The sequence below is a fragment of the Homo sapiens genome, chromosome 8 (assembly GCF_000001405.40).
Source record: "Homo sapiens chromosome 8, GRCh38.p14 Primary Assembly".
Lineage (NCBI taxonomy): Eukaryota > Metazoa > Chordata > Mammalia > Primates > Hominidae > Homo > Homo sapiens.
In genome coordinates this window covers 124,624,615-124,647,425 of record NC_000008.11, presented here as the reverse complement: position 1 = coordinate 124,647,425, position 22,811 = coordinate 124,624,615, and the positions used below count along the sequence as shown (strand labels likewise).

The 22,811-nt window shown below is 44.9% G+C and overlaps 1 protein-coding gene across 33 annotated transcripts in view, besides 6 other annotated features; it reads left to right on the top strand.

The window, feature by feature from the left end:
- The window catches only part of MTSS1 (MTSS I-BAR domain containing 1), a 177,690-nt gene that overhangs the window by 81,048 nt on the left and 73,831 nt on the right, over positions 1–22,811 (top strand). For 2 of the 33 annotated variants that reach the window (XM_047422491.1, XM_017014090.3), the window contains exon 1: positions 5,522–5,862. The exons of the other annotated variants lie outside the window; for them this stretch is intronic. In XM_047422491.1, coding sequence (XP_047278447.1) covers positions 5,820–5,862 — 43 coding nt within the window. In that variant the 5' untranslated portion in view covers positions 5,522–5,819. Of the gene's footprint in view, positions 1–5,521; positions 5,863–22,811 lie in introns of those variants that run through there. 33 annotated transcript variants of the gene reach the window in all.
- Positions 17,048–17,117: an enhancer, noted in NCBI's record as "active region_27893". NCBI's record gives its function as "activates an Ori minimal core promoter by ATAC-STARR-seq in GM12878 lymphoblastoid cells {active_cell/tissue: GM12878}" and the evidence as "EXISTENCE:reporter gene assay evidence [ECO:0000049][PMID:35858748]".
- Positions 17,324–17,618: an enhancer, noted in NCBI's record as "tiled region #10356; K562 Activating DNase unmatched - State 5:Enh". NCBI's record gives its function as "activates a minimal TATA promoter and a strong SV40 promoter by Sharpr-MPRA in K562 cells {active_cell/tissue: K562}" and the evidence as "EXISTENCE:reporter gene assay evidence [ECO:0000049][PMID:27701403]".
- Positions 17,778–17,827: an enhancer, noted in NCBI's record as "active region_27892". NCBI's record gives its function as "activates an Ori minimal core promoter by ATAC-STARR-seq in GM12878 lymphoblastoid cells {active_cell/tissue: GM12878}" and the evidence as "EXISTENCE:reporter gene assay evidence [ECO:0000049][PMID:35858748]".
- Positions 19,001–19,050: an enhancer, noted in NCBI's record as "active region_27891". NCBI's record gives its function as "activates an Ori minimal core promoter by ATAC-STARR-seq in GM12878 lymphoblastoid cells {active_cell/tissue: GM12878}" and the evidence as "EXISTENCE:reporter gene assay evidence [ECO:0000049][PMID:35858748]".
- Positions 19,081–19,140: an enhancer, noted in NCBI's record as "active region_27890". NCBI's record gives its function as "activates an Ori minimal core promoter by ATAC-STARR-seq in GM12878 lymphoblastoid cells {active_cell/tissue: GM12878}" and the evidence as "EXISTENCE:reporter gene assay evidence [ECO:0000049][PMID:35858748]".
- Positions 19,949–21,148: an enhancer, noted in NCBI's record as "BRD4-independent group 4 enhancer chr8:125638519-125639718 (GRCh37/hg19 assembly coordinates)". NCBI's record gives its function as "activates an origin of replication core promoter dependent on BRD2, P300/CBP, MED14 and CDK7 cofactors, and independent of BRD4, by STARR-seq in HCT116 cells {active_cell/tissue: HCT116}" and the evidence as "EXISTENCE:reporter gene assay evidence [ECO:0000049][PMID:35650434]".

The following is a 22,811-nucleotide window of genomic DNA, read 5'->3' as shown; positions in this document are numbered from 1 at the left end:
TTTACAACATATACATTCATCAAAACATAGCATGTATACTGTTAACACATAACAATTTTAATTTCTCAGCTATACCCTTAATAAAGCTAAGGGGAAAAAAGAAACTTTGATATCTAACAAATTCCACCCAAAAGAATCGTATTTCATAAAAAAACTCTAAATCTAGATGTATCCAAACATGAATTACTCAGCACATACATAAGACATAAATAGTATGAAAATGTACTTTGAAGTAGTTTTTGAAAATGTAGGTAAATTCCTTTTATTTAAAGAGGAATGACTGCGTGGTGGCTCATGCTTGTAATCCCAGAACTTTGGGAAGCTGAGGCGGGAGGATCACTTGAGCCTAGGAGTTTGAAAGCAGCCTGGTCAACATAGTGAGACCCCATCTCTACAAAAGGAAAATTTAAAAATTAGCTGGGTATGGTGGCACATGCCTGTAGTCCCAGCTACTCAGGAGGCTGAGGTGGGAGGACCATTTGAGGCCAGAGTTCGATGGGAGGACCATTTGAGGCCAGAGTTCGAGGCTGCAGTGAGCCATGGTAGAGCCAGTGTACTCCAGCCTGGGTGACAGAGGAAGACTGTCAGAGAGAGAGAGAGAGAAAGATGTAATGGTGCAGATTTTTTTTTTTTAACCATGAGGAAAATAGCTTTTAGCTGCAGGTTATACAACATGTTTATTTAGTGAAAAATAGGTGATACAAATTTTCCTTCAAGATATTAAGCAGTAGCTTTCTAATGGCTCTGTTCTCTGTGGATGGTTTAAAACTCACGGGCATTTTGTCTTTTAAAGCACTTGAGAAACCCTGCTTTCATCACATCCAAATTCTTCTGTCTTCTCAGTAATAGTTTAAGTTTCTAGGGATCTTGCTATTGCATTTCTTACAAGTTGTCTAAATTATGAAACTGTGGATATAACTTGCTTTTAAAAGTCAGTAGAAGTGTAAGAGATGCCTTATCTAAAGATAATTTGAGAAGCAGCAAGACTCAGTTATTCTTTGTGACCCAGGAAAATATTTTTAGATTTTTTAAATGAATGAATGGTAAATAAATGACTCTATGGTCATTTATTTACCAAGAGATGCTGATTAGATGGCAGTTATATTCATTATTACATGTTCTCCCGATTGTGAAGTGTTCAGTATGTAACTGGCTAAAGATGAGATGGCACAGCCATTGAAATAAAAGACTAAGGCTTATAATCCCATTTATAATCCCAGCCTTGCTAATATTCCAGTGAGATGGACAGAAGAAAACACAAAGGAATTTGATTCCTGGTTTCCCAAAGGAGCCTAGACAAGTTGAGGTTTCAGCGTGGCCCAGGAATGCCTTTAAAAAATGAGTTGAATACAATTTTTTAAAACCCTCACTGTCCATTAAGTGTTTTTAAAGTGTGTTTTATTTTACATACTTTTTTCTAAATAGACATTCACAGTGGAAAGGAGGGGAGAAATACAGCAGGAATAACTAGAATTCATTTGCATGAGCAGCTTCTGAAGGAAGATATCATAGTTTCTTTGAAATCGGGTGAGAGACCTTCGTGCCCTGAAAGAGCAAAGATTGTTGCTGTCACCACTTAAGCCGAGGAAGCTGGGCGAGGGTTTTGTCTCTTTGGGAACATGGGCAAATACTTTCATTAACAGCTTAGAGTACTCAAAATAGTAAGATGCTTATGATCCTTTTTGCTTTCTGGATACGCATGATAAAGGGTTTAAGTCAAAGGTTGGAGCTTAAAATTGAAAATCATGCTGAGCGTCAACCGAGAAAATGAGATTTGGGGACAGTAGTTCAAAGAACAGAAAAAAGAGAAAAGCTTGGTAAACTGGTGTGCTTTAAGCTTGTGATACCCCAGCGGAAACATATCCGCATAGCTGTTCTCAAATCAGCGTCCTTTGGATTCTCGTGGGAAGAATAATTTGAGTTTATCCTAAGATTTTTGCCATTGATAGGGATCGTGAAGATGGGACTAGCCACCCAACATTCATTGGAGCCTTATATTTTCTTCTACACATTGAAAATTGTATTTTCTTTTAAAAATTGGTGACAAGGTCTTGCTCTGTTGCCCAGGCTGGAATGAGTAGCGCAATCATAGCTCACTGCAACCTCTTGGGCTCAAACAGTCCTCCCGCCTCAGCCTCCCGAGTAGCTACTAGGACTACAGGTGCACGCCACCATGCTGGCTAATTGTTTTTCGTTTTTTCGTTTTTGTTTTTGTTTTTTGTAGAGACTAGGGTCTCTCCATGTTTTCCGGGCTAGTCTCAACCTCTTGGCCTCAAGTGATCCTCTCACCTCAGCCTCCCAAAGTGCTGGGATTATAGGTGTGAGCCACTGCACCTGGCTGAAAAATGCATTTTTGATGCACTATTTTGAGAGGGTCTCTGGTTCAGGTGTTTGAACAGAAATGTCCTTCTCTACATTTGGGCCTCAAGACCTATCAATGCCACATATATAGTAGGCCCCCAGTAAACGTTTATGGCTCAATGAATCTGTGTATGACATACCTAATTTCATTCAGTTTATCCAGCTAGACATTTTCTTAGAAAAATGACTTAAGGGGTGGACACAAATTCCATAAAATGTTTTAAGCCCTCTTATACTGAATCATAATCGGATGACTTAGGTTTCTCCATGTCCATTTGGAATTATCTCCTGATTTCTTCATAACATTCTGCCAATAGTATTCAGACCTCAGGGCTTTGCTCACAGCCTCTGTAGCAGTGTTTTCCAGTTTGACATTTGCAGGTTAGATTTAGGCCTGGAAACCCCACCACGTCCTGCTCAAGGGACCTGAAGTGGAGAGAGCAGGTAAATATTTAGACACCAGTACTATTTAGCAAAATTGGAGGCTTAAATGTAATTTCCTTGTTTCATTCACTTGGTGAAAAGATTAATTATGTTTACGTGATGCTAAAATTAAATTGTGGTAATATGAAAATCAGACAGCTCAGAACTCAAATGGTAAATGCATCAAGAATCTGTTCTCTAAAATCCATTGTGGAATGAGCTTGGTGTGAAGAAACTCATTAATTAGAAATTCTTTCTTAGAGAATGAGCATTCTACCATGTTCTGCTACTGTCTAGCTGGCAATTGATCTCAGGGACTTTGGAGAACCAAGACTTTTTCATCTGTGGTTGAGATCAAAGAAGACAGAGATAAGGTTGCCAAGGAAACCAAAATGCTACAGAATTATGTGCTGCTCATGCATTTCAATGTGGTTTGAGGTTTGGGAGGCTTTCTTTTTTTTCTTTTGGCACAAATAATAGTACATGAAAATGAGCAATGCCCATGTTCCCAGGTCTTAAAGGAAATGACCACAGGCTTAATGTAACTCAAACCGTGGGCCTAAAGGGAATCCTATTCTTTCTCTTCTTTCTGTACTCAAGCATCAGCAATTAATGGCGTGCTTCCAGTTGGCTTCTCTTTAGTGTGCTTTGTCCCTCTCCATCACAGACACATACCCACACCCACAAACTTTTTAATAACTTTTTCCTGACTTTAAATAAATTACTTGCACAGAATTTCAAAAATACAAACAATTCTCTGACAACATATAAAAGTTACCTGTAATTTTGCCATTTGGAAATACCTAATGTAGTATTTTGTTGTACTTTTCTCCTAATATTTATAGACACAATGGGTACATACTATTTTAAATATATTTATAACATGAAATCCCAAAGTTTTGAGTACAGATTTTCGTGGTTTTTTTTTTTTTTTTTTTTTTTTGAGACGGAATTTCGCTCTTGTTGCCCAGGGTGGAGTGCAATGGTGCGATCTTGGCTCACCACAGCCTCTGCCTCCCCAGTTCAAGCGATTCTCCTGCTGCAGCCTCCCGAGTAGCTGGGATTACAGGTATGTGCCACCACGCCTGGCTAATTTTTTTATTTTTGGTAGAGATGGGGTTTCTCCATGTTGGTCAGGCTGGTTTCGAACTCCTGACCTCAGGTGATCTGCCTGCCTCGGCCTCCCAAAGTGCTGGGATTACAGGCATGAGCCACTGCGCCGGGCTAGATTTTTGTTTTTAAATGATCATATTGTAATCATTTTTCCGTGGCTGCAGGAACAACTCCTATGAACACACAACTGTTTATTTGGCCATTTCCCCCACTGTTGGTTATCTTTTGCTTGTAGAGTTCCAGTATTCTAAATGATGCTGCAGAAGGCATTCCTGTGCATCTTTTTGCATATCTTATTTCCCTAGGATGGAGTCCTCATGTGGGATTGCCGAGTGAGGGCCGTAAGCATTTGTAGGCTTCTGTTGTATTGCCAAATGCTTCTTTGGAAGTCTTATTAACACTAGGGGTTACCAATTTTTTTCTCTCTGCCAAATTTTATTGATCAAAGATACTCAGTTTTCCCCCTTAATTATGCAGAGAAAAAGAAGAATAGCAGCTACCATGGATTGAGAACTTATTGTATGTGCTAAGTCTGTTATTGTTAGTTCTCACAATGGCTGGCTCAAGTAGGTTTCATTGCTCCTGTTTCACAGATGAGAAAACTGAGGTTTAACACCGTGCTTAAGAACCCAGAAGAGCCGGGCGCAGTGGCTCATGCCTGTAATCCCAGCACTTTGGGAGGCTGAGGCAGGCACGTCACCTGAGGTCAGGAGTTCGAGACCAGACTGACCAATATGACTAAACCCTGTCTCTACTAAAAACACAAAAATTAGCCAGGCGTGGTGGCATGCACCTGTAATCTCAGCTACTTGAGAGTCTGAGCCCTGAGAATCACTTGAACCCGGGAGGCAGAGGTTGCAGTGAGCCGAGATCATGCCATTGCAATGCAGACTGGGCAACAAGAGTGAAACTCATCTCCAAAAAAAAGAAAAAAGAAAAAAGAAAAAACCCAGAAGAAACATGGGGCTGTCTTAACAACTCATATTTCCAACTTAGGTGGATCAATATAAATATGTTACTAGCTAAGGAGATGCCTAGAGATCTAATAGTTGTAAAGCCTCCTTGGACTTAAGGTGGGTGATTGGCAGGAAGATGGGAGCTAACTGAAACTTCAAAGGGTAGGCTGACTTTGGGCTCCTTCTGTTGAAAATGGAGATGTTTTTCTTTCCACAGTATAGTGTCCCCTCCCTAGTCTTTGGGTGTGTCATCCTAGCATGTGGAGCTTTTGTAAACAGAAAATTTACAGTGAGTGAAAGCTTTATCTGCTGATTGATTCGTTAAATTAAAAAAAGCCTTCAATTTCTGCCTACTTTCCATTCCTATCACATCCACAATTGAAAGCATGTATTCTGCACCTGCCTCGTTTCAGAGTTTAAATATCTTCTCAGTGAACTGCGCCTGTTATGAAATGCTAAGTACTTGAAACCAAAACCACATGGTGGTTATTCTGGAACTGTTTTCCTTTCAACTTTTGGAGACTTTCTATTTACTGAAAACTAAGGGTAAATGATTTATCTTTTTGCTGGATTTAGCTGTCTATAAATTTCTCTGTGCCTTGAAAAAAAATCACACTTATTCTAATGTGTCCTCATTCTTAATAACCACAATTGGCGGGAAGAGGGGAAAAAAGATTTATCTGCCAGTGAGCCAGTTTTTTGTTTAACATCTGGGTCTGATACTTTTTAAATTCTCTTCTGTTTATCTCTTCCTTTTATTCCTACTCTGGTCTCTCCATGCTTATTGGTAAAATTAGAATTTATTTTCAGGTGGGGAACACTCTGACTCCAGCTACAGATACTTGATTTGTTTTAGGGGGGCCATTTGAGCCAAGCAAGGTGATAAACTGAAGGATTTTTACAGTTCTGACATCAGACCATCTGTCCGTCTTTCTGTCCAGCCATCAGAGCTTCTTACTTCACAGCATGTTGCTAGGCACTGTGGGAGAGAGATACCACGATAAATCAGGTAAAGAGCCCGTTTATTGAGTAATTTCTGTGTTCCAAGGCCTGGGCTGGGCACTTTCCATATGTTCTTATTTAATTCCTGCAGCAACTGCACAAGGAATCTTGTTTTAACTGTACGTTTCAAACAAAGGAATTGAGGCTCAGAGAGACCCTGGGACTAGAAAAGACTTGTGGTTATTTGAACCCATCTTAATTGTGTCTCAATCCTTTTATTCTTTTCTCTAACACGGCTTTATTTTCTGATAGGAATGTTCACTGTTTTCCCAAGTTGCTCACAGGTATATGGGGATTGGGGGGTCTGGAGGGAGCTCTCTTAACCAGCCTGCACTGGGCCTGCTGGCCAAAGTGACTGTGGTCTTCCATTCCCCTGGTCCATTTGACCCATCAGGGCACTGGGGGCTGTGATGGCTCTCTTCCTTGTCCCCTGCCATGTCCCCTCCCCCAGATGAGCTCTGTGCTTACTGATCAGTTGCGGGTTTTCCCCCAGACTTGTTTTTTTTTTTTTGCCACATGTACTTGCTTTTGTAATTATGTAACCAAAATAGTACATACACGGATGACATATTAGTGTGAAAAGAGAACTCGTTTTTTTGAAAACTAAGTTATGTGTTTTGGAAAGAGTTGCAAAACAACTTATAAAGAAATTCCTGTTGTTTAAGGTGTGGTTGAGACAATCAGTATAAATAAAGAGGGGATGGTGTAGGTAAAATCTAGAAGGGTTGAGGCCGGGCACGGTGGCTCACGCCTGTTATCTCAGGACTTTGGGAGGCCGAGGAGGGTGGATCACGAGGTCAAGAGATTGAGACCAACCTGGCCAACATGGTGAAACCCCATCTCTACTAAAAATACAAAAATTAGCCGGGCATGGGGGCGGGCACCTGTAGTCCCAGCTACTCAGGAGGCTGAGGCAAGAGAATAGCTTGAACCCAGAAGGCGGAGGTTGCAGTGAGCTGAGATCACGCCATTGCACTCCAGCCTGGGTGACAGAGCGAGTCTCCATCTCAAAAACAAAACAAAACAAAAAAATCTAGAAGGATTTTCTACTTTGTAAGTAGTGAAACTCTCCTTGAAGGAACCTGAAATCTGACATTGCAGGGTGTGTGGATGGGGTGTGGTTGTTGCCGGAAAGACCACAGAACTCTAGTCAGCAGATCCCCACTCTAAAGAGAAGGCCTTGGCCCTTCACAAGATTGAGGAATGAATGTTTTCCGTTCCAGTAAATTGTTTAAGGTGTGTGCGTATAATTTTTTAGTCCTTTCCTACCCCGACTTTTTAAAATAATCGAACAACCATCACATCAGAGAAGGCAGCTCTTCCGTAGAACCAGAGTGACTGCGTTTCTCAGCCTTGGCTCAGTGAAATAACAGTGGGTAGGGTAATCAAGAAGGCTGGGTTTGTATCCCAGCTTGACCCATCTACCAGCTGGTGAGGCCTAGGGGAGGCCAGACATTCAGTTTCCTCCTCTGTAAAATGTAAAATGAGATGGACAACTGTCCAGCACTGCAGCTGGGGAGGATCCAGGGAATAAATACCTATAGTCTGGATGAAAGCACCTTTCACATAGTAGGTGCTCGTTAAATGTCAGCCACAAGTCATAAACTGTTTATATTGTTCTGCCTACTTATAATGTCAGCCAAATGTCATAAACTGTTTATATTGTTCTGCCTACTTATAATGTTTACCTTATTCACTATTATGATTATTAGCTATTGGGGCAAGAAATTGAACGAAAGGTTAGGCTTTGCAGATGATGAACATTTAGTTAGTAATAGTCATAGCACTACATAGAAAAGAAATCTGGGGCTGGGCGCGGTGGCTCACGCCTGTAATCCCAGCACTTTGGGAGGTCGAAGCAGGCAGATCACTTGAGGTCAGGAGTTCAAAACCAGCCTGGGCAACATGGAAAAACCCCATCTCTACTAAAAATACAAAAAATTAGCTGGGCATGGTGGCACAGCCTGTAATCCCAGCTACTCCGGAGGCTGAGGCACGAGAATCACTTGAATACGGGAGTGAGCCAAGATAGTGCTACTGCACTCCAGCCTGAGTGACACAGAACAAGACCCTGTCTCAGGGAAAAAAAAAATCTAAGTAAGGTAATACCATCAGAAAGATATAATAGTGTATTTAATAGAATATATTCTTATAGCACTTTATAGGAACCACTTAAATTTTTGTTTTGTTGTGATAATTTTACATCTTATTAAGGCAACACTTTTGTTTTTTGGAGATGGAGTCTTGCTTTGTGGCGCAGGCTAGAGTGCAGTGGCGTGATCTTGGCTCACTGCAACCTCTGCCTCCTGGGTTCAAGCGATTCTCCTGCCGCAGCCTCCCGAGTAACTCAGACTACAGGTGTGCGCCACCAAAGCCCGGCTAATTTTTGTATTTTTAGTAGAGATGGGGTTTCACCATGTTGGCCAGGCTGGTCTGGAACTCCTGACCTCTAGTGATCCGCCTGCCTTGGCCTCCCAAAGTGCTGAGATTACAGGCATGAGCCACCACCTGGGCCAGGCCGCCAATACCTTTTTAATTTAGCCCCTTGCTACATACGCATTTGAAAAAATAAAATTACTTTTTTGTTGTGACAATGTGTAGTAAGTGCTTGCCAGTTCAGCCTTTTGATGAATTCAAACTGGCCCGCCCAGTTAGTTAAAATTCTTTACCTCATGGAGATTGTTCTGGATTTCCAAAATGATATTTGTTTGCTTGTAACATGATAGTGATAATTACTAGTGATTAAGAAAAGCCTCCTCCTCTGCTCCTCATTCTTTTGTGGCCTCAGGGCCCTTGTTACCCTCCTGCATCCTGGACAAAGAGGTGGGAAATGCGTCTGTGATGGGTGTTACTCTGAAGACCCCTAGGTTATTAAATGGGAGATATTTCAGCTTCATGCTTGAATGGTGGTAATGAGCTCTGTGGCCCATTTCTATTCTCCGGGGAGAACTGAGTAGCTCCAAGAATGTGGGGAGAGCAGGTGTCTGCTTATCTCATCACAGACCCTCCGGTTTCCTGACACTGTACCGAAGGGCACGGATCTCCGCCGGGGAAGGAAATTTGGAAATGGAATGTCTGTGTGTGATCCCCTTCCTGTTTCAGCTGGGACTTTTCTCATTCCCAGCTTATTTTAGGATGATGTGGGCTTCCTTTGAAGCGCCACTTATCAACATTACTAAACTCTAAGATAGGCCCAGTTTGGGGTAGTGGATTTGATCACAAACACTGATGTGTACCTTCTTAGCTCCATGGGTTGAAGAGAGAGACGCTTAACAATTGAACTGCAGTTTCCTGACTTTAAGCCTTTTGTAGTTGTGAAATTTGAAATTTCCTTGGATCTCTGTGATAAGGTGAAATAATTCTGATTAACATCTTTGTTAGATTTATTGTTAAAGGCCACATTCTTCAACTCATAGGACTATACCATCAGCAAAGTCATTGTCTTCTGCTCTAAAAAGATCCAGGAATAACAGAATTTTATGGGGAGAAAGAGACCCCATAGGGGAAATGTCTCAGGTGATTCTTCTATACATTAAAGTTTGGGAAGTACTACGCTGCTCCCAGCTGGAATTAATCTACTCCCCCTAAACTGCCAAACCCTGCTTAACCTCCTTAATTTATCTAACTTGTGTGTAAGTCTTCTATAAGAGGATATGTTCTTTGAGGGCAAGTTCAGCCTGATTTATTTTCATGTTCCCATAGCAACTTTTACACCTGGGCTCAGTAAACGTTTGCACAGAATGAACGAATGAGCAAGTGTATACATCCAAAATATAACCACAAAAAACAGCTGTTTAGCTTGTGGGGGAAGATTACCCCCCCTCACTTAGACACCCGTCGGAAGCATGCTGCTTTGGGGGGAGAATCTGAGACCCAAATGTGACACATAAATTCCACCCCTTCTAGGGTGTGAACGGAGGAGGTGACCACCTGTTTCCTGTAGGCCCCAGCATGAAACAGCAGCTGGGCCAAGGCCAAGGTTTTGCGAGTGATCTAACCCCCTCCCTCCTGCTTTCTGCAAGTGTTCAGCACCCATCTTCCCAACACCAGATACCCAGCTTACCACCAGCCTGCCCATGTTGGAGCCGTGGGTCTGGCTTCCCCTTTCCTGTGGGAGAAGGGCCTTCTGGGGTCTCAGCCCCCACCCCATGCTGCTCAGGTTTCTCTCCTGTATATTCCTCACTCTAGATTGGCCATGAGTGTGCATCACTTTAATGTCACCATCCCAAAACTCCCCTGACTCTGTCTCCCTCTCTAGTTACCACTCCATTTTCCTGGTCCCTTTCACCGAATAAGGTTGAATGAATAAATAAGTTCACTTTAAAGTCTAGCCATCTTATTTGAGCTCTTCATATTGAGGGAGTAGGATGGCTCTAGAAAAGCATGAACCAACACGGATGCTTCAGGATCTGACAGTTCTGGAGCCAGGTGCTTCTTTTGTGGTCTTAGGCAGGGCTGCGTTTCCTCATCTTTTAGGGTACACGTCCAACTCCCTGGGTGATCATGCTATTAAATAAGGGAACATGTAAGATATAGGGCACACAGCAAAAGATTGAAAATTAATTCCTTCCGTAGCCATCTTTATGGATGCCAGAGGAAAATCCCCTCTTAGTTCAGAGCTGGACACTTCTGAATTTAATAAGTAAGACCTGGGAGAGGATAATTTCGGCAGAGTCAGTTGCTATTGGCTCCTTGCCCGCAGCAAATGCTGACTGTTGGTTCCTCTGCAGAGGATCAAAGGTCATCGTGCAAGGTCCCGATGGGGCCAAGAAGTCCTTGTGCCAAATGTAAAGTGGTTACCCTTCAAGGGCACCCTCTCCAATGGCGATGGGTGCTTAGGTACTTTCGGATTGTCAAGGAAGACTTTGAGACTCTTGGTCAGCTGTACCTCTAAGTGGACAGCTGGGTACATTTCCTGAGCAGGAGTATGAGGCCTCAGTGATCATAGATAAATGGACACAGAGGCAGTCAGGCAAATAAACCCACATTTGTCACAGCTGTCAGAATGATCATGTTATGTTCTCTGCCCTTTGGAAAATGTTTTGGAGGTAAGCTCCCTCAGTTAATGACCTCTGTTACATTTTCCTAGTATTTAGAGTCTCAAACACATTTAGAAAATAGAGAAAGGCCACCAAACTTTGGCGGGGTGCAGTGACTCACACCTGTAATCCCAGCACTTTGGGAGGCCGAGGCAGGCGGATCACTTGAGGTCAGGAGTTCGAGGCCAGCCTGGCCAACATGGTGAAACCCCATCTCAACTAAAAATACAAAAAATTAGCTGAGCATGGTGGCACACAAGTGTAGTCCGAGCTACTCCAGAGGCTGAGGCAGGAGAATCGCTTGAACCTAGGAGGCAGAGGTTGCAGTGAGCGGAGATCGTGCCACTGCACTCCAGCCTGGGCGACAGAGGGAGACTCCATCTCAAAGAAGAAGGAGAAAGTTAGTAGCTGAGGTTCCAGCACAGGAACCCATATCTGAGGCAGGGCTGCGCTCTTTGGACTCTGCGCTCCTAGCCTAAGGAGCCTGTCGAATGCACCCTGCACCCTCCACCCTCCAGTGTGAATGTATTGGTTTTCCTGCCTTTGTGTCTTTTAATGTTAGAGAGCTGAGTGTTCTTCCTTAAAGACTCGTTCAGGTGCTTGGTGTATGTAACAGGGCAGTTTATTTGGCCTAAATGAGAATATTGAGGCAGGTAGGCTTTCTTGTTGTTTTGTTTAGCAACTAGATGGAAGGCATGAGAGCAATCCAATAAAATTGGGAATCCGGGAGCCATAAAATATAGTTGATTCCATCTACAAATAGGGCAATTGCTTCAGAGAGAATAACAGCTCAGGACACTCACACAACCAGTGATTGAGCTCCCGTTGTCTACTAGATCTTGCAGTGCTATGGAGAGTGTAAAGATGATTAAGCTACTCTCCTTAGCCTCAAGCAACTTAGCATGGCAGATGGGAGATAACCTGAAAGCTGCTGATTAGAATAGACCAAGAGTGATAAGGACCTTCTGTGCTCTGGGTAGGGAGGCATGGGAGATCTTATAGGAACAGAGGCGTTCCGGCATTTGCCTGGGATGTGTCAAGCATTACAGATGTCTCTGTTGACATAGATTTCTCTGCTGAGCTTTGCAGTGAAGAAGTCCTGAGTCTTCTCAGAATTAGATAACCACATCCATGTTTCTACAACTAACTGTTGCACCTGCTACCTGAAGGATGACCAAACCAGAGCTTCTCTGTGTACAGACTGCTGACTTTAAGAGTTTATTCTCTAAGGTGATCTAGAGTTTCCTGTCATTTGACTCTGTTCCCTGTATTTATTGCTTTCTTCCTTTTCTCTGAAATGCTATTCCTTTACCTTCTCTTACCTTTTTAAACCCTAAAAGCAAGAAAGAACTTTACTTATAGGAAGAAAGAGCTAGAGGAAGGAAGTGATGTTTGGAGGGTAAATAAATGGAAGTTTGGGCAGCTTTAACGTTCCAGGCTTTGAGCTAGGCATTGAGCGTTAACTCTTACAATAACCTGGGGAGAATAGACAGTCATTTCTTTTTGTAGATAAGAACAGAGAATCAGAGGACAGTTCATTATTTCGTACAAAACAAAAAGTGCATTAAGACTAGTAATGTTTTAAAAAATCATTTGCTGTCTTTTAAACTCACAGCATAGAACGGCACTTCCCAAACTCCAATGTGCATGGGAATTGCTTGGGATCCTGTCAAATGTAGGTTCTGATTCAGCAAGTCCAGCACAGATGGGTCCCCAGGACACTGCATTTCCGTCACACTCCCAGGTGATTCTGCTGCTGCTGATTCAGGGAGCACACTTTGAATACCAAGGACATGGACTGTGCATTTGCTAGCATTTTTTTTTTTTGAAGCTACAAGAGGGAAAAATATTTAGATCAAGGAAATCAGAAGGTTTCTGGCTCTAATCAGCCCATCACAAAAATGAGATGAGTATTTCCCTGTTGTCATAACCCCTTAGGGTGAGGAGTGTATCCTTGGTGACAGACCAAAATCAAATCATTTTTACAAATATTTATGGAGTATGGTTTGAGAGGATGAAGAAGAAAAGCATGTGGAAACATGGGGCAAATTGGGACTTTTTATATCTCTCATTTAAATAAAGACTTGTTGGCTGGGCAGCTCACGCCCATAATCCCAGCACTTTGAAAGGCCAAGGCAGGAGGATCACTTGAGTGGGAGGAGTTTGAGACCAGCCTGGGCAATGTGGTGAAATGTCATTTCTACAAAAAAAAACTATAAAAAAAACTACAAAACAACAACAACAACAAAAAAAAACTAGCCAGGTATGATGGTGTGCGCCTGTAGTCCCAGCTACTTGCAAGGTTCAGGTGGGAGGATTGCTTGCGCCCAGGAGGTTGTGGCTGCAGTGACAGCCATGATTACATCACTGTCCTCCAGCTGGGGCAACAGAGTGAGACCCTGTCTCAAAAAAAAAAAAAATTAAAAATAAATAAATAAATAAGGACTGGTCTATATTTTATCCTTCCTACTGGTCTCAAAGGAAGCCACCTAGAGTGGGTCATTGTTTGACATTTTGATGAATTTATACTTTGATACATAAATTTTGAACCAGACCATATCTTGAAGTGTGAGAGAAGTAATTATATGAATTGCCTTTGGAGGCTAATTCTACCTGTTCTCTCAGTGTGGCCATTACTCAAACATTTTGGGAAAGCACTTCTAGAACCACCGTCAGAAATTTAGGCGGTACTAGGATCAACAAACATTACTTCAGAAGGCACTGAAGGGTTTTTTTGTTGTTGTTGGTTTTTTTTTTTTTGAGACAGGATCTTGCTCTGTCGCCCAGGCTGGAGTGTGCAGTGGTGTGATCTCAGCTCACTGCAACCTCCGCCTCCTGGGTTCAAGTGATTCTCCTCCCTCAGCCCCTCGAGTAGCTGGGATTACAGGCGTGTGCCACCACACCCAGATAATTTTGTATTTTTAGTAGTGACGGGGTTTCACCATGTTGGCCAGGCTGGTCTCGAACTCCTGACCTCAAGTGACCCACCCGCCTCGACCTCCCAAAGTGCGGGGATTACAAGCGTAAACCCACTGTGCCCGGCCTATGATAGGTTTTCACCTACTGAGAATGGACTTAATTTTTCCTTTTAGGAATAAGAGTCAGAGCTAAGGCCCAAGACTAAGGCAAGTGACAAAGCCACTCAATACTATATGTGATCAGGAGAGTTTGTGAAGGACAAGGACTCCTTTTATTGAGTCACTTAGAAACCTAATTCTGAATGCTGTTCTTAAAGATGAGTTCCCAAGAGGTTTTGACCAAACATAAAATTATTAAGGCCTTTGATGCCTAAAATGACAACAACCCTTTGGCTGGAGAAATTTCCAGGTTGTGGCAAAATCCATCTTTAAAAATTTTTTTTTAATTTTGTAATTTTAATTTCTTATACAGATGGGGTCTCACTATGTTGCCCAGGCTGGTCTCGAACCTCTGGCCTCAAGCATTCCTCCTGCTTTGGCCTCCCAAAACACTGGAATTGTAGATGTGAGCTACCATGCCCCGCGCCACCTTATTTTTTACTGACCTTATGTATGATATGTATGGGTTAGTGAAAGGCAGGATTGAGGCCGGGTGTGGTGGCTCATGCCTGTAATCCCACCACTTTGGGAGGCCAAGGCAGGTGGATCACCTGAGGTCAGGAGTTCGAGACCAGCCTGGTTAACATGGCAAAACCCCATCTCTACTAAAAATACAAAAATTAGCTGGATGCGGTAGCATACACCTGTAGTCCCAGCTACTTGGAAGGCTGAGGCAGAAGAATCGCTTGAACTCAGGAGGCAGAGGTTGCAGTGAGCTGAGATTGTGCAACTGCACTCCAGCCTGGGCAACAGAGAAAGACTCCATCTCAAAAAACAAACAAACAAACAAACAAAACCTAATTCTGAATGCTGTTCTTAAAGATGAGTTCCCAAGAGGTTTTGACCAACAATACAATTATTGAGGCCATTGATGCCTGAGATGACAACAACCCTTTGGCTGGAGAAATTTCCAGGTTATAGCAAAATCTATCTTTAAATTTTTTTTTGAATTTTTTATTTTAATTTTTTGTAGAGGTGGGGTCTTACTATGTTGCCCAGGCTTGTCTCGAACTCCTGGCTGCAAGTATTTCTCCTGCTTTGGCCTCCCAAAGCACTGGAATTATAGGTGTGAGCCACCATGCCCAGCCTCATCTTATTTTTTACTGACCTATGTATGTGTTAATAAAAGGCAGGATTGAGAAACTTGTTCCTTACCTTTTTTTTTTTTTTTTTTTGAGACAGAGTCTCACTCTGCTTCCTAGGCTAGAGTGCAGTGGTTATGGTCATAGTTCACTGAATCCTTGAACTCCTAAGCTCAAGGGATCCTCCTGCCTCAGCCTCCCAAGTAGCTGGGACTACAGGCATGCACCACCACACCTGGCTAATTATTTAAATTTTTTTGAAGGGATGGAGTCTCGCTATGTTGCCCAGGCTGGTCTCAAACTGCTGGGCTCAAGCGATTCTCCTGTCTTGGCCTCCCAAAGTGTTGGGCTTACAGGAATGAGCCACTGCACCCGGATGCTCCTTAACTTTTCTCCTCTTTCTCTTTGCTTTCTGTTAAAAACCAAATGACACAACCACCATCATCAGCAGCAGGCCCAAAGCTCAGATCTGTTATTCCAGTAGCTGCAGTGGAAGAGCCGAGTGGGTGGACAGGCAGTGGGGGAAGCCTGAGCTTTGCTGCCTCTGCCTTTGGAGGGCCGTGGGTGTGATTCTGTAAGCAGTGGAGAGCCACCCAAGGCACAATGGGATCAGACCCGCTGTAGGAGGTTGGCTAAGCAGTGGTGCTAAAAGCAGTTTGAATTGGAGAGACAGAAGCTGGCAGGCCCGAGGGCTTTCATAGTCAGAACCTGAATGGTGGCTTTGGGAGTGAAGTGAGTGGACTATGGAGGGGATCAGAGAAATTTTAGTGCCAGAGATGCTCAGACTCAGGATGAGATGAGGGGCAGGGTGGCATTGACCAGGAGTTAAGGTCTGGTGCACGGTGAGGTCACCAACAAAGCCTGGGAGCATGGAGGAAAAGGAGAGTTCTGAGGAGGCAGTGGCCTGCGGGCCAGGACAGGGTCTGAGCTGTGCAGCAGTGTCGGGACTGTCGTGTAGCGCTCGTCTTTTCCTAGCACGTGGACGTACTCTTTAGGGTCCAGAAGGGCTCATGTCTTGTGAAATCAGGTTGCTGTGTTTGCTGGCTCTGGAAGTAAAGGGCGTTTTGTGTCATTAGGGAGATTGGTGGGTCAAGGTAGTGACCTTTGTCTGTGCTGTCCTCGGGAGCACCCAGCTGTGGCAGCGTGCCTGGAATCCGAGTCCAGGAGACCTGGCCTGTCCCCGTGCCCCACCTTCCCAAAGCTGCTGATTCCTTACTCTTTGCCTTTGACCTCTGTGCTGCGTGTATGTTTCAGGCTCAAGGGCGAATCCTCAGGGTGCAGGCCAATGAAATGCTCAAGTGCTCTCAGTCCTCCTTATTTTCCCTTTCTTATACACATGTTTCTGGCTCCAGGTGTAGTTGGTAACTTTTTATCTCAGTGATGATGCTGCCTTAAATACATGTGTATTTAGGAACATGCTGGTAGGTGGCACAGCATTGCAATATACCAAGCAGGTTCAGAATGCCATGGCCAAAGGCCTCCAAAGGTTTCCATAATGATGAGAAGTAATGAGAGGCAGAATCTGGTGACTTGGGTTCTAAGCTTTATGTGTTGATAGCAGAGCCAGCTGGTCATTTTTTTTGTATTAGATTTTGTGCTAAGTACTTTATTTGCATTATTTTAATTTCCTCTTAAAACCACCTTGTAAGTAGGTACTGCCCTACAAATGAGACAGTGGAGGCAGGTTGGGGCTATGTAGCTCATTGTAGGTCACATAGAAAGTGAGTAGTGTGGCTGGGGCTGGTACCCGGATGTTTCTGACTCCAAAGCCTGTGCTGTAGACCAGTGCTTCTCAAACTGTCCAGTGCCTGTGAATGGCCTGGAGCCTTGTTAAAAATGTGGGCGGTGATGCAGTGGGTCAGGCAGTGCTGGGGCTCCATGATCTTGCTGCTGGCCCATAGGCCCCCTGAGTCACAAGTGGCCTTTTTCATCCTCTTCTTCCTCCCAGCCTTTCTCCACCTCCTCTTTCAGGTCCTCCCCTCTGTTCCTGCTCCCACCCCACCCCCACCTTTCCTCCCATGTGGCTGACAGTCTGCTCGGGTAGCCCAGGCTGCTTGCCTGTTGGTGACTCTGTTGATGGATGGCTTGCCAAAAGATGTGGTGGCCCCCATTCAGCCCAGTGGCATGGGGTGGGCTTAGACTGGGGCCCTTTAGGGTCCACAACCTCTTTGGGCTCAGGGAGGAAATAGGTCACTTCTGAAGGTGACCTCTTCCAGGGGAGGTAGAGGGAAGTTAACTCTCCCTGGTCATTTAATTAAATGTAAATGCCTTTGGTCTAAAAGTTTTAAGCAATTTTACAAGATGAATTATATTCCATGGAGCAGGTGAAGTATTTCAAGAAGCTTCAGACAGGATTAAGCAAGCGGGGCTGACGCAGCTGGCTTGGCCTTGCCACATCTGTCCTCAGCGACTCAATTCTTTACAGGGTGATGAGTCAGCAGCCACTGGGCAGTAGCTCCATTTAAGAACGCACGGTGTGTGTGATATGTTTTTAAAAGATGACAGTTAAAATGATAAAGACTGGTTATTCGGATGATTCACTTTGGAAAGGCCCCTGGTTCTTCCCAGATGGAGGGGGGTGGCCTTGTGGTGTGGTGTCTGGGAGAGAGAACCCTCCCCTCAGGCAGGCTGTGGCCTCTGTGTGTTACGATGGAAACTACCTGTCCAGCCTCCAGCAGGACAGGAGGCCACTTAACGTTGGAGGCACTTGGCTGTCTCACCAACCAGGGATGTGGGAACTCGTGTTTCAGGTCTGTTTTAGGGAGAGGTCAGATCTCGGGCTTCAGAGTTAGGTACCGCTATAGCTAAGTATCCAGCTCCAGAATTTCTTTTTTCTTTTTCTTTTCTTTTTTTTTTTTTTTTTTTTTGAGACGGAGTCATTCAGGCTGGAGTGCAGTGGCGTGATCTTGGCTCACTGCAAGCTCCACCTCTGGGTTAACGCCATTTTCCTGCCTCAGCCTCCCAAGTAGCTGGGACTACAGGTGCCCGCCACCACACCTGGCTAATTTTTTGTATTTTTTTTAGTAGAGACTGGGTTTCACCGTGTTAGCCAGCATGGTCTCCATCTCCTGACCTTGTGATCCGCCCGCCTCAGCCTCCCAAAGTGCTGGGATTACAGGTGTGAGCCACCGCGCCTGGCCATCTAGCTCCAGAATTTCTTAGCTGTGTAACTTTAAGTGGCTTAATCTCCTTAATTCGAGCCTTAGTTTTCTCATCTATAAAATGGGGGTGATGATAGTGCTTATGCACAGGGCTGTTGAAAGAATGAAGATGAATGAATGAATGAATGTGTACACAGAGCTTAGGCCTAGGCCTGGCTCATGAGTGCCCAGCACTTGTGAGCTCTCATGATTAACTCATTTCCCTCCTGCCCCAAGGACCCTCTTGGGAAATAAAACCTCCCTGAAGATACTTTGGGATCCTGTAAAATCCGTGTGTGTTACTTTCAGGGTCTGCTGTGGTGTAATGGAAGAAGTGCAGACTTCGGAGCTAGACACCACCTGGCTTTGAGTCCTAGGTCTACCCACCTATGGCAGGTTTCTCTTAGCCTCAGTTTCCCCATCTTTAAAATGAGGATGGGCAATGAAGAATTGCCTCAGAGGGTTGTTGCGAGGATTAGATGAAATTACACAAGGTACTTCTTGGAGTTCCTGGCTCACTGTAGGCATTTAATCCATGCAACTTATTATTTAGCTGACAAAATGCCTATAATTAGATGTTAGGGAAATTGCTGTCATCGATGGGGAAAGTTCCCCAATGGAGTTGGAACTGTTGACTCTGCTGTCCTGGCTTCTCCAAGTCCTGCCATCATTTTCTTCTGCCCCTTCCCAGAGCACCTGCTGTGGGGGCTGGTGGGAGCTCCAGGTTCCACAGCTGAGCCGTGGGGAGCAGAAGACAGAGCTTTCCTGCTAATAAGGATCATAAATGCCAGCCCTGGGCTGGGCAAGCATCCTGCTGCCGGTTCATATCACTGGATTTAGCATCCTGTGGCGGTGGTTTAATTGGAAGAGATAATTGGTGCCGTGTCCTGGGGAGTATGATCTGGGAGTCGGATGATAAGACTGACGCGGCTGATGTCTTGGAGCTCAGACTCGCAGCCTGGGATGGGAAGCACCCGTTCTCAGCAAACTTTTGGTTTCTGTTTGTATTACTGACCTGCTCTGTACTTTTCATCACTGCTAGTTTGTTGCTGTTGTTGTTGTTTTTGAGACAGGGTCTCCCTCTGTCGCCCAGGCTGGAGTGCAATGGCACGATCTCAGCTCACTGCAACCTCCATCTCCCGGGTTCAAGCGATATTCCTGCCTCAGCCACCTGAGTAGCTGGGATTACAGGCACATGCCACCACGCCTGGCTAACTTTTGTATTTTTAGTAGAGACGGGGTTTCACCTTGTTGGCCAGGCTGGTCTCTAACTCCTGACCTCAAGTAATCTGCCCACCTCGGCCTCCCAAAGTGTTGGGATTACAGGCGTGAGCCACCGCGACCAGTCACTGCTAGTTTTCTATCTGTAAGAGTTTTTATGGGAAATAGCAATGCCACAGTTTTCTTTCTAAAGCGCAGTTCACACTGTCTCCCTGTGCTTCTCTCCCGGACTCCCTATGGCCTGTGGAAGCTCAGGCTGACCTTTAAGGCCTTTCACCCTCCTAGCTGAGCTTCCTCTTCTTACATTACCCTTTCAGTGATCCCTGGGGGACCCCCCCGCCACCCCTGGCCATCTCCCAGGGCTGCTTAGTCTATGATCCCATCGTGTCTGCTCCATGAATTCTTCCTGACACCCTCCTCTACTTTCCCGGTCTTATATTGTCTCTGTCTCCTTGGCTGTGGCCCTGTGCTGTGGAGGAAGAGTTGAGAACAAGGGATTTGAAATCTGATAGCCTTAGTTTGAATCCTGGCCTCAACATATTTTCCCTTTGTGACTGTGGATCAGCAACTTAACCTGCGTGAGCCTTGGTCTCCTCCTTTATAGGATAGATGCCTGCCTTGAGGGTTGTGGAGAAGGTGAAATGTTGAGTACCTAATGCATGAAGTGGCACTCAGTCAGTGTTAGCGAATGTAACGATTATGCCCCAGTTTCTCACTGATAGCCAGCCCTCATCTTTTGAGTACCAACTTGATAACTAAATTGAACCAGGTTTTTAAACACTGTAAGATGATTCCAGTTTTTTAGATAGCTCAGAGGGCCGTGGGGACACCAGGGTCAGAGGCCAGAGGTACCAGGTTGCAGGGGAGGATAAGCACAGCCTTACCTTCTCTTTTGAGACCCTGGTGGCAGCCTTGGAAGCTTTTCTCGGTGCAAACTTTGGTGTGAGCCACACAGCTGCTGCCTGCTAAATGGGAATGTGCACAGGACTCGAGGAATGAAGCAATGTTGCGTGACAGGTTCGTGTCCAACCCCTGTGTGCAGGCTGGGCAGGGGCTGGGTGCGGGCTGCTGACTCACCAGCTGCAGTGAACAGGACCTGCCTTGGGAGACCTTTCCTAGTGTTGGGGCAGCGTATATCAGGCTCTGTGACCGTCACCATGGAGATGTGATTCTTGTTGCCTTTTCCTTTTGTCTGTTGCAGTAGAGGCTGGTGTGATGCCCCTAGGAAGAAACCTGGAACCCAGAGTCCCAGACAGAACTTGTAGCGGCCTGCTGATTGGTCCTCACTGCACCGTAATCATTTCTAACCACCCCATTCCCATGACCGGGTGCACCTCATTATCTCCTCCCAAGGGCAGGTTGAATGCCTCCCCACAAACCGCCTTGTTGAATGGAACCTTACTAGATCCTCATCCCACACTCTGCCCCCCTCCAGCCCAGTGGATAAGATTGCTATTTCTGGATTTAATGTTTCTCAAAATCCTTTTGACTGGAGCTACTTTGACTATAGGATCATGTTTGGTTTTTTTATTTTTATTTTGAAGCATGGGTCTCTCTAGGTTACCCAGGCTGGTCTTGAACTCCTGGGCTCAAGCTATCCTCCCACCTCAGCTTCCCGAGTAGCTGAGATTACAGATGCGTGCCACCATGCCTGGCTTATAGGATCATTTTTTAGCTCAAGCATCCTGGCAGAAAAGCTGGTGGTGGACTGGCCCAGGCCAGTGCTTTGTGTGTAGAATGTTCCCAAGAAAAGAACTGACGAAACACTAGAATGGCTCAGTGTGGTGAGAAATAATTCCACTCCTGGAAGACCTGCATACCTGCAACTTCCTGTCCCATAGCCCTTTGTATTCACTGTGCTGTTGACTTTGTCTTGTCCTTTCATTTATCCTCATTATGACCATCCTTTTCAACATGGTGCCATGGTTAAAAGACCTGGCCCTAGAGTTCTATTTGGGTTTGATTTGCAGCCTCTCCCTTTCAGTCTTCATCAGACTCTGCACAGTTTCCTGCTGCGTATAGTAGGTGTTCATTATGCTTAAACTAAAGTCACAGCCTACAGAAAATTTGACCCTGGAGCCAACTGAGAGGGGAGGGAGAGAGGCAGTGGGGACCTTGCATGGATATAATCCTGATGTCTGGATTTCTTGGATGAAAACAGTGTTGTGGATGAGGGTTTGCTCATGAAAATGGATGTGTGGCCTTCGTATCTTGCAGCAGTGCCTGGGAGTCTGTTCATCTTGAAATAAAAGGAACTAGATGCATTTAAAGAAGGCAGCATAGCTACACTTGCAGCTGGAACATTTAAGCCTCTTTCACAATTCTCAAAGCTGCAGTTTTTGTGTGTGGGGTCAGGGGGAGTGCCTTAACTGGCCTTCTCTCTCAGAGCCGGGACTTGGCTGCTTCTGGGGGTAGAGTTGCCTCGCCAGCAGGTGGTCTATACCAGCTGAACTTCGCCATGAAAGCCGCCTGTGTTGGAGAACTGAACGTCTGTGTCCGAAAATGCTGGTCTGTCTAAAGTTTCAGCATTTGCGATCCTTAGGTTCCCAACCATGCACTCATTTCCCTGGACTGTAATTCTGCCTTCACGAATGAGCCAGAATTATTTTGATAGGTACAGTGCCTAGATTAGAAGGATTCAGCTGCTTGCCAAGAAACCCTTGCTCACGTGGAGGGCTTTACATTTTATATATTCTCCTGCCATGTATTTTCGATGATCCTTAGAAGAATCTTACAAAGCAGGTACAGAGTTCCATTTTACAGATGAGCCCACCAAGGCTCAGAGAGATCAAGTGTCCTTTCCAAGGTCATGTAACTAAAGAGAGGCAGAGGCAGGACACGAATCTGATCCTGGCAGACGAGGATGACAATCATTTGCACAATGCCTTCTCATTCAGTCTCCTTTCTGGCTCCCGAGCCCAGAATCCTGCCCAGAAAACCATTTCTCTGAAAAGAAAAGATTTGCATTTTTGGATCTGAAATCCACACACCCAGGCCCTGACAGATTTGGGGCACGTGTTGTTACAGCCGCTGAGGTCTGTGGCTAGGGAAATATGGGCATGTCATGTAGAACATTTATCTATGAAACAAGGACAATGGGTGTCAGGAAATTTCCAGGCATTTGCCAGACATCTGCCATTTTAATGTGGAGGGTAGCAAACAGCTTTGTGTGCAGACCTCATTCATTCCTGTGCCCACACCTCCCCGCTCTGCGCAAATCCACCTCTTTGAGTCAGCTTCAGTTTCGCATTTCCAGCCGTCTGGTGGTTGGTCTCCATTCATCTGAACAGACATTTATTTCAGCGCCATCAACGTGGCTGGCATGGTGCAGGGATATTTGGCCTTCCCCCTGGCACCTGAGACTCAGCCAAACCAAACTGCCTTCTCCTGATTTCCC